General features: G+C 51.4%; 1 long non-coding RNA gene across 1 annotated transcript, besides 1 other annotated feature; it reads right to left on the reverse strand.

Moving 5' to 3' along the window:
• Positions 1-327: 327 nt before the first annotated feature.
• Positions 328-10,677, reverse strand: LOC124901146 (uncharacterized). Its single transcript, XR_007059075.1, has 3 exons — positions 10,622-10,677; positions 5,874-5,935; positions 328-389 (listed from the first exon to the last, which is right to left on the reverse strand). It is a non-coding gene; the product is annotated as an uncharacterized LOC124901146 (long non-coding RNA).
• Positions 1,529-2,336: an enhancer, noted in NCBI's record as "H3K27ac-H3K4me1 hESC enhancer chr5:177357323-177358130 (GRCh37/hg19 assembly coordinates)". NCBI's record gives its function as "activates a minimal SCP1, AML or CMV promoter by ChIP-STARR-seq in naive H9 embryonic stem cells {active_cell/tissue: H9 hESC(naive)}" and the evidence as "EXISTENCE:reporter gene assay evidence [ECO:0000049][PMID:30033119]".

A 10,720-nucleotide genomic window follows, 5' to 3' on the forward strand; every position in this document is an offset into this window, starting at 1 on the left:
ACTACATGCCAGGCACTGTCGTCAGTGTGGGGACACAGCTGTGGACAGCAGAGATGAAACTCTGCCTTCAAGGAGACGGCTTTCTGGTGGAAGGTCATAGAAGCCACCGAGCGGTGAAGGGGCGGTGACAGGGCTGCTGTTTTGTACCGGCTGGTCAGGACAGGCCTCGGCGAGAGATGCCATCTGGGCAGAGATCTGCAGGGGCCAGGGGAGTGGCCCACAGGGATACCAGGAGCAGAGGGGATGGCAGGACGCATTCCTGAAGTGGAGGAACTCTCTCTGGGCTCCGGGAAAAGCAGGACACCCAAGCTGCAGGGGAGGTGGGGGGCGTGAGGTACGATGGGGTGCGGGGGTGTCCCCGGTCATCTCAGGCTTTGTAGGTCTGGCTGCTGGAAAATTACAGGATGCCCAGTTACACTGGAATTTCAGATAAGCAGCAAATAATTTTTTAGTATAAGTGTGTCCCACGCAAGTTTGCCTTTCTCTGAAATTCAAAAAAAGATTTTTAGTTCCTAATATCCCTTTCTTCTTTTTAAAACATTGTTTTAATTGACCAATAAAAATTGCATATTCTTATGGCCTACAATATGATGTTTTGGAATATGTATACATTTATGGGATGACTAAATTGAGCTAATTAACATATGCATTACTTTCCACCTTGTTTTTTTTTTTCCTGTGGTGAGAACACTTAAAATCTACTCTTAGCGATTTTCAAGAATGCAGTACACTGTCATTAGCTATGCTGCCACGACGTACCATGGGGCTCTTTCACTTATTCTCCCTAACTGGAACTTTGTGTCCTTTGACCCACAGCTCCCCAATTCTCACTCCCTGTCCGCCAGCCTCTGGTAACCACCATTCTACTTTCTGCTTCAATGAATTTGGCTTTTTCAGAGTTCGCCTGTCCATGTGAGATCACGTGGTATTTGTTTTTCTGTGTCTGGCTTATTTCACTTAACATGTCCTTGAAATTCAAACCTAACGGGCATCCTGCCTTTTTGTTTGTGAAATCTGGCCACCCTAGCTGTGGCCTCTACAAGACTTTGGCTTTACTCTGAGATGGAAGTCACTGGAAGCTTTGGGGTGCAGGAGAGACGGGGCGTGACCAGTTTTAAAGGGTCCTGGGGCGTGAGCGGACTGTGGCTGGCAAGGGGGGGAGCCGCTGGAGGTGAGAGGTGGGATGGAGGCTCCAGGAGGCAGTGTGCAGGTGCTGAGGGGAGTCTGCATGTGTTTTGAAGACAGCTGACCCCATTTGCTAATGGGTTGGTTGTGGGATGGCAGGTGGGGGACATGGAGGACTCCAAGGCTTTTGGCCTGAGCAACCGATAAGATTGCAGGAGGATTGTGTGTGTGTGTTTGCGTGTGCTTTTGGACACGGTTCAGAGATGCCCACTGGACAACCAGGAGGAGACATGCAGTGGGCAGGAGTTCAGAGAGAACTCATTCATTCGTCATCAGCTTGGATGTCATTTAGAGCTGAGCACCTGCCCGAGGGCAGAGGAGGTGTGTAGGTAGAGAAGCAGCCCTACTCCAACATCTGCAGAGGCCTGGAGGCTGGAAGGCCCTGGTGCACACTGATAGTCAGGCCCATGTAGTGTGGGAAATGAGACCGGCATGGCCTGGAGGCAGAGAGAGCCATGAGGAGTTCCAAGAAGGGGAGTGACTAGTCAGATGTGTGTGTTTTAGAAGGGTGCCTCCGGGGCAGGGTGGAGGGGATGGAGCAAGGCCAGGAGGGCAGAAAGGGGACTGTGGCACCAGCCCTGCCCCAGCACAGCAGCCGGGGACTTGGTGGGGGGTGGTGCAGGGAGACACAAGGGAGGGTGGTTTGTGTGTGGCGCTGCGGACAGGGCTGGGCAGCAGGATGGATGTGGGGTGCAGGAGGACGGCTGGGGGCAGAGAGAGAGGCTTTTGAATTTGCCTCAGAGGAGTGCAGGGTGTCCCCACCCCACCCCCAGCAGCCCACGGCCGCTGTGCTTGTTAGCAAGGAACACTCCTCAGAGGGAACATATGTGCTGTTATTTTTAGGTGATTAGCCGCACGTCGTGGAGCGTTTGTTTGCCAGTCGTGGGTAAACAAAAGCCATTTGTCAAAATGAGATGTTCCAGCCTCGTCCTCCCTTCGGCAGGCCAGTCCCCGCACTGTGAATTCCTGTTGCATCAGCAGTGAAGCTAATTAGCTCCTCGGCTCTTGAATAATAATGGCCACATTTACCGAGAGATTTCTGTGCACGAGGAGCCCTGCAAATGTGATCTACGCAAGAATCACAGGTGCATCTTATTGGCTCCAGTTTGGAGTGGGGGAAACTGAGGCTCAGGGAGGTGGAGCGGTTTGCTCAAGGCCCCACAGCTAGGAAGTGAAAGCTCTGACATTCTCAGATCTGAATGACCCCCAAGCCTGAGATGGGTGAGGGGGCTGCTCTGTTCTTCTGGAATATCTCCCCTTCCCCATCCTGTGAGCAGAAACTGAGCAACATCACAAGCAGCCTAAGGTAATTAGACTATCATTCCTTGTATGGAGTTCAAATCTTCATTGCATCCAAGGTATCTGCTCTGTTTCTCACTTCTGAGTCCTGCACGTGCTAACCTTTCCAATCTCTGGGCTTTGGACAGCCACAGTGAGTCTGAGGTTTGTTTCTGCCACTTCAGGTCTAAGTATGAGCTTGGGCAGGTCTCTGAGATGAAGTGTGTTGGGGCTCATTGGCCAGTGCTCCTGAAGTCAATACCATTGGAAGGGAGCGGGGAGGAGCAGGCTGGGCAAAGGGGGAGGCTGACCTATGATGCTATCTCAGCAGAAGCCTCAGCTGGCCTGAGGATGGGATGACCCCTCAGGACTGTCCCGAGTCAAAGCAAAAGTTCGGGTACTTGGCACCCCACATTGGTGCCAGGGACCCCACATTGGGTCATTGGATGTAGGCCTCCCTGGGAATGGAGCATGAGGGCTGTCAACTTTCTGCAGGCAGTACTCCCAGCAGCTGGGGTAATAAGTCCTTTATTCCTGCAGAGGGACCTGGGTGGCACCTTACAGAGTCCTTCACAGTCACCTCTTGGATCCACTTCATGTAAGTTCTGCGAGAAGCTCTTCTAGGAGGCAACTTGAAGAGGAAAATTACTGGGATGAACTCCAACCCCTACCTCTGAAGTTTTGGGGTCTCAGGGCTGCAACTGACATCCTCACCTGCCCACTCCACTACCCATTATAGACCACCTCACTCTCAGACGACATCTCTGTTGGTCTCCTGATTACCTGAGGGAACTGAGACCCTGGTCACCATGCTATTTTCAGGCCAGGGTTGCTACACTTGTCAACTTAACATCAAAATTGGGCAAGGGAGTACCAAGAAGCACCCAAGGGCATCGCCTGGATGTCAAACATATTCCTCCCAGACCCCATATGCAACCGCTTCTGGATGCCAGGATGCGACTCCTCTTCTTACCGCTGGCCCCTTGATGCAAGGACAAGAAACCCAGAGTGCCAAGGAGGCGACTGTGCTTCGACTTTGAGGGACTCTGGCTGTGCCACCTTGCAGAAGTATTTTCTCTTTGGGAACAAGGACCTCTAAACTTACGGAACCCAGAGTTGAGGGACAGAAAGCACAAATTCTTTAAGTGGGCCACTGGGCCACTTAAGCTTCTACCCCTAGGTTCCTAGACCCGTGTATTCTGCCCAGTGGGGATGCAGTGCCATATATAGTATTTGATTTGAAGTGATACTGCATCTTGGAGGATGGTACTGAAACCTTGTGAAGGCTTGTTTCTGAACTGGCATTGCAGCTCTGTCTTCATCGGGCCAGCAGCTTTGGGGTCATGTGGTGTGCAGTATTAACAGTGGATCCCTGGTCATGGGCCAGCCCACTCCCGCCCCTGCAGGGTTATTGCTATAAGATGGGCTGTTGAGTCAGAAGTGATGTTATGTGGCATCCTGTGCCAGTGAATCAAACACTTCATAGACCCTTGAGCAGAGAATCCATGGGCAGGAAAGGCAAATCTCTATCTGGAACTGGTCTCTATTCCTGATCTTTCAGGAGAGGGTCCAATGTAGTCATCTGCCACATGCCAAGCCAAACCAATCTCAGTTTTATCCTCTTCAGCTGGTGACATGGGAGTCCCCCATGTGGCCATTCGAATGAGCTGAGGCTGCTGGTGCCTCAGTGGGGATGATGTGGGGTCTGGGCTACCTGCCGTGTAGCTTGCTGGTGTCCTCAAGGCGTGCTCATGTTTGACCCGGGATGTCCCCACCATGTTAGATTGATTGATTGGGTCTGGCAGACCCAGCTCATGACAGGCAGTTCCAGCTGCCTGATCACTCGGTGTCTCATGTCTGGGTGTTGTGTGTCACATGAGGGCTAGTAGCACAGGCACACCAGGACCTGTTTTCAGAAGGTGAATAATCCTTTGCTGCTAATTGTAATTCACTCCCAAATTTTAGGGAGTCTCCAGATCCTAAGGGATTCTCCCACTGGAGCTTGCATTCTTCACTGGCATCTCTTCCTATCACTCACATGGCTGACACCATAGGGTCTGCTGAGTACTGTATGGCTCAAGGGATGGGGTTGATGGCTCCAGCAGCCTGACACTTTTGCAGAATCCTTTCTTGCTCTGGGCCTTGGCAGCCTTTCATGGCATTGGCATATGGGGTTGGAGCAGTATTCCTAGCTATGAAATATGTTGCCTCCAGATCTACCTATCAGGTGTTAGGATTTCTTCTTCATGGTGGGAGGTAAAAGATTAAATAATTTATCTTTGCTTTGTAGGTATGTCCCAGTATTCACCAGACCATTGAATTCCTAGAAATTTTACTAATGTGGTGGCCTCTCGATCTTCAGTAGTTTTCTCTCTCACCCTTTGGCTTCCAGCATGCTAGGTACCGCTTGTCTATCTGCCTGATCAGCATGATGACATCAGTGTACTGGATCAGTGTGATGTTCTGCAGGATGTCCGATGATCCAGATCTTTTTGGATGGTCATGACAGAGCTCTGATGAAAGTTGTGAATGTATACTGTTGTCCCTTCCATGTGAATGTGAACTCTTTCTGATTCTCTTTCTTGATTGAGATGGAAATGAGCATATTCACCAGATTAATGGCTTCATAACATGTACCTGAATTCAATTTTTTTTGAGATGGAATCTCACTCTGTCACCCAGGCTGGAGTGCAGTGGGGCGTGATCTTGGCTCACACAACCTTTGCCTCCCAGGTGAAGTGATTCTCCTGCCTCAGCCTCCTGAGTAGCTGGGATTACAGGCGTGAGCCACCATGCCTGGCCAGTTTTTGTTATTTTTAATAGAGATGGGGTTTATCATGTTGACCAAGCTGGTCTCAAACTCCTGACTTCAAATGATCCACCAACCTCAGCCTCCCAAATGCTGGGACTGTAGGCATGAGCCATTTCGCCTGGCTCCCTGAATTCATATTAATCTTCTCTAGCAGCAATACCACACCTAGCAAGGAAGCTGCAATGGGGCTACTAGTTGTTGCACTTCTGGTAGTTTCCATGGGGAACAGACTGGTGAATTAAATGGGACTATAATAGGAATGATCATCCATGCATCTTTTAGATCTTTAAGAACAGCACTCATCTTTGCCATCCCCTGGGATGTAATACTGCTTTTTATTTGCTATCTTGGCCAGAAGGGGGAGTTTCAGAGGCTTCCACTTGGATTTCCCCACTATGATAGCTCTTACCTCACAGGATAAAGGGCTTGTGTCAATTACTAAGTATGTCAATTACAGTTATACATTTGGAGACCACTGAGGGTGGGACCTTGGACTGTGGGTGAGCTGGACCTAAGCTAGAACTCCATTTATCACCTGGCTCCCTTAGGAGGGGCCATGCTAATGCTCTGGGTTTCCCCTTCCCCAGTACACAGTTACCTGAGTAACGTTGGGAAGAAATGGAGGAATCCTCGCTGTGTGCAGTCATGGGGTTCTTCCTCCTGGGGACATAGGCTTTCTGTCAATCAAGTTTCCACGTCCAAGAACTTGCTCAGGGATGGACATTGGGGAAGGGATTTTTACTTTTTTTTAAATTAAGGTGACTGTCCTTAGCTTCCCAGCCATCCATCCGTGCTGTTTTTGATTATGCAGATACAGTAGTATCCTTGTTGGCTCCATATCTATGTGGCCCCTAGGGGTGCCAAGTTCTATTCACTCCACAGGTCTCTGTAGGTCAGGCTCCCCTGGCCTCCTCTCTACCCTACCACTCACCACAATGACATCTTCCTGCCTTCTGATGGTGCCATGGTCTGAATGTTGGTGTCTCCCCAAAATTCATACGTTGAAACCTGACCACCAATGTGAGGGTATCAGGAGGTGGGGCCTTTGGAAGGCGATTGGGTCATGAAGGTGGAGCCTCATGAATGGGACTAGTGCCCTAATGAAAAGATGTCCCAGCATGCTGCCCTGCCTGTTCTACACTCTGAGGACACAGTGAGAAGGCACCATCTATGAGCCAGAAAGTGGGCCTTCAGCAGACACCAAATCTACTTTGATCTTGGACTTCCCGGCCTCCAGAACTGTTAGAAATGAATTTCTTTATAAGCCACCCAGCCTATGGCATTTTGTTACAGCAGCACTAAGGTAGATGGCTTCTAGTTTTCCAAGGTCCTTGGGATCATTTCTGTGAGTAAGCCTGGTTGTACAGTGGCAATTCCTCCTGCCAGCCCTGGTCCCCAGAGAGGAGCCATCACTGAATTTCTAAGTGATCCATTCCTAACAGCCTTGGTAAGTGGGTTATCATCTGGGTCCTGTGTGCAGCACAGGCCTCTGGGAGTTCCAGCCTTACATGGCACACCTCCTCTGGTGGGCCCACCTCTCTGAGCCTAAGTGCCAAGGGCCTACCGTCTGCTCCAGCAGTTCTCACTTCATGCTGGCCGCTGCTTTTTCCCATGTTTCTAGGAATCATCTGCAGTGAGTTTGCACCATCTCCTGGGACACTGGTGAGAGTATTAAATCCTGTATCCTGGGAGAGTTCTCCCAAGTTGATAAATACTCCCTTATCTAACCTTACCTTCTGACCTCCTTGACCAGACACCCTTGGATTCCAGTCCCATGTTCCTGCAGACCTGTGCTGGGTAGGTCCTACAGCTCCTTTGGGGTATAGCCCCATCTTTCCTCACCAGGCTCAACATGCCCACAGCTGGTTGCTGTTGTGACTTCATCCTAGTCATTGGCCTAATGACCAGGAGGACAGACAAGGCAGAGCCTGAGCCGGGGACGTGTTGTCTGGCTGGGGAGAGGCCTCTGCACAGTGTCCAGGCAAGGAGGGAGGGAGTGCCAGCCCTTAGCGGCAGGGGCGGCATTCCTGCCAGCTCAGAGGGCTCAGTGGGGATATAGAGAGTCCATCGTTTGTAGAGACCTCAACCTAAATGTTCCCAGCCTGTGTGTCAGAGTTGTACTCTCTCTCTCTCTCTCTCCTTTTTTTTTTTTTTTTGGCAAGGGGTAGGGGGACAGAGTGTCGCTATGTCACCCAGGCTGGAGTACAGTGGTGCGATCTCAGCTCACTGGAACCTCCGCCTCCCGGATTCAAGTGATTCTCCTGCCTCAGCCTCCTGAGTAGCTGGGATTACAGGTGCATGCCACCACACTTGGCTAATTTTCATATTTTTAATAGAGACAGGGATTCACCATGTTGGCCAGGCTGGTTTTTCATATTTTTAGTAGATACAGGGATTCACCACGTTGGCCAGGCTGGTTTCTAACTCTTGACCTCGTGATCCACCCACCTCGGCCTCCCAAAGTGCTGAGATTACAAGCGTGAGCCACTGTGTCAGGCCACAGGGTTGCGCTCTCTTCTAACCAGGGCCCTGGCCTTGGCACAGTAGACCTGCCTTGGTTGGAGTTGCATCTTCTGTGGATCCTGAGCCTGGTTTCTGCTTTCTCCGTCCTCCTGGTGCAGATGAGAGCCTCTTTAAACGCCAACAGAAGGGCCTCTGGCTTTCACGTTAGCCTTTAATTGCTGAGCTGGGACTACAGGCATGTGTCACCACACCCAGCTAATTTTTTATTTTTAGTAGAGACGGAGTTTCACCATGTTGGCCAGGCTGGTCTTGAACTCCTGACCTCAGGTGATCCTCCTATCTTGGCCTCCCAAAGTGCTGGAATTACAGGCACCCGCCCAGCCAATACATTTTAAAAAATGTTGTATATTGATTTCAGGCCTTTTATTTTCTTAAAAGCAGCAGCTATTTAGCCTAATTCTGAGCAGTGGTTTGTTCTCTGGGCCAGTAGGATTTTATGCATGCTTTTTGTGATCCGTGTTCAAAATCTGCATTGCCAACATTGCAGCTCCAATGTAAGCTTGTTATTCAAATAAATATTTAATTTTTAAACTTGCTTCTGTACTGTATGGCTGGGTACAGTGGCTCATGCCTGTAATCCCAGCATTTTGGGAGGCTGAGGCTGGTGGATCACCTGAGGTCAGGAGTTTGAGACCAGCCTGGCCAGCATGGTGAAACCTCGTCTCTACTAAAAATACAAAGATTAGTTGGCCATGGTGGTGGGCACCTGTAATCCCAGCTACTCAGGAGGCTGAGGCAGAAGAATCACTTAAACCCGGGTGGCAGAGGTTGCAGTGAGCTGAGATCATGCCACTGCACTCCAGCCTGGGCGACAGAGTGAGACTCCATCTCAAAAAAAAAAAAAAAAAAAAAAATTGCTCCTGTATTACCAGATGCCCCTTTTAGTATTATTTTAGAAGCATTGGGAGAGTTTTGGCTAAAGTGCAATTTACCAGAAAACACTAGATTTTAGCTTTATAAAACTTAAATCTTTCATAGGACCTATATTTTCTTGAATTAAATTTTGCAGTTCTAGGCCAGGCACAGTGGCTCATGCCTGTAATCCCAGCATTTGGGAGGCCGAGGCGGGTGGATCATGTGAGGTCAGGAGTTCAAGACCAGCCTGGCCAACATGGTGAAACTCCGTCTCTACTAAAAGTAGAATATAAGTAGTGTATAAGCCCTGGGTCCTAGGCTCTGGGTATAAGCCTCACGTTTTTTCTGGGTATAAGACTTGTGTTTCCTAGGCTCTGGATATAAGCTACATGTCCTAGGCTCTGAGTACAAGCCCAATGTCCTAGGCTCCGTGTATAAGACCCGGGTCCTAAACTCTGGATATAAGCCTTGTGTCCTCGGCTCTGGGTATAAGCCTTGTGTTTTAGTCTTTGGGTATAAGCTCCATATCCTAGGCTCTGGGTATAAGCTTTGTTTCCTAGGCTCTGGGTATAAGCCCCACGTCCTTGGCTCTGTGTATAAGCCCCAAGTCCTAGGCTCTGGGTATAAGCCCCAAATCCTAGGCTCTGGGTATAAGCCCCGGGTCCTAGGCTCTGGGTATAAGCCCCGGGTCCTAGGCTCTGGGTATAAGCCCCAAGTCCTAGGCTCTGGGTGTAAGCCCCGGGTCCTAGGCTCTGGGTGTAAGCCCCGGGTCCTAGGCTCTGGGTGTAAGCCCCGGGTCCTAGGCTCTGGGTGTAAGCCCCGGGTCCTAGGCTCTGGGTGTAAGCCCCGGGTCCTAGGCTGTGGGTGTAAGCCCCGGGTCCTAGGCTCTGGGTGTAAGCCCCGGGTCCTAGGCGCTGGGTATAAGCCCCGGGTCGTAGGCTCACCCCAGGACCCCCCAGCACAGGTCCAGTGGCTTCCCGTTATTAGAGGTGAATGTGATCCTGGGCATCATTTATTTGGGGGAAAATTGGATTCTTTGGGGCTCCAGTTCCTCTCTGCTGCTGGCTCTCCTAGGCTGCCAGTCCCACATCCCACTTCCCCTGTGTAGAAGGGGGAAGGCCACCCCCTCCACACTCCCCCCCATGAGGCTGAAAGTGGCCAAATTCTCCCATAGAAAAAGTTTGCTGCGGCTTTGAATAAACATAGAAATTGATCATCCCAGCCTTAAAGAAAGTTACATTTGTCTCAGTGGAGTTTTCTTGGGAAACCTCCCAGAGAACAGTAGGGAGCTGAAACTTACGAGCTAGAGCTCTGGGCCTGATAGTGAGAGGCCTGCCCCTCAGCCCTCCGGAGTGCCTCAGCCACCTGGTGTCTGTTGACCAACGCCTTTGCCTCCCTGCTCTCTAACTCCTGTTTTTCCACAACTGGTTACATTTCTTCTTGGCCAGGCCTCCAGGACCCCCACCCTCTGCACTGCCCTGGATGCTGACGAAGGCTCTCCTTCCCTCTCCCTAACCAGCTCCTCCCCTCCTCCCACCTTTGGCCATGCAGAGGCCCAGCTACACTGTGCCTCTGCCTCTGAGAAATGGCTGGGGGTGCGCTGCGGGGGTGCGCTGCTGGGGAGCCTGGAGCTGGGGTAGGGATGGGGGGTTGGGGAGAGGGTGTTGTTCTCAGAGTCCTCTGGGTCGCAACCCCAGCAACCCCAGCAGTACCAGATCTTGCATCCCCACCTGGTTTCCTTGCCCGCTGTGCAGTGGAAAGGGCGCACCTGTTTGAAAGGAGCGGCTGTGCTTGCAGAGGTGCGCTGACCCAGGATACTGGTGGCCTTTCCAGCACCCGCCTGTCTGGCAGCTACCGCCCCACGCTCCTATCCCTGCTTAGTGGAGCCCCGCTGCTACCGCGTCCTGTTCTGACCTCTGCCAGCCCGCGCCCCGCTCCCCTCCGCGTCCTGCTGCCCGCGTTCTGTACCTGCCCGCGCCCCGCTCCTACGCGTGCGCCACTCCTATCCGTGCCCCGCTCCTAGCTAAGCCCGGCCCGTGCCCACTCCCACCCGCCGCCTTGCGCTGC

The sequence above is a fragment of the Homo sapiens genome, chromosome 5 (genome assembly GCF_000001405.40).
Source record: "Homo sapiens chromosome 5, GRCh38.p14 Primary Assembly".
Lineage (NCBI taxonomy): Eukaryota > Metazoa > Chordata > Mammalia > Primates > Hominidae > Homo > Homo sapiens.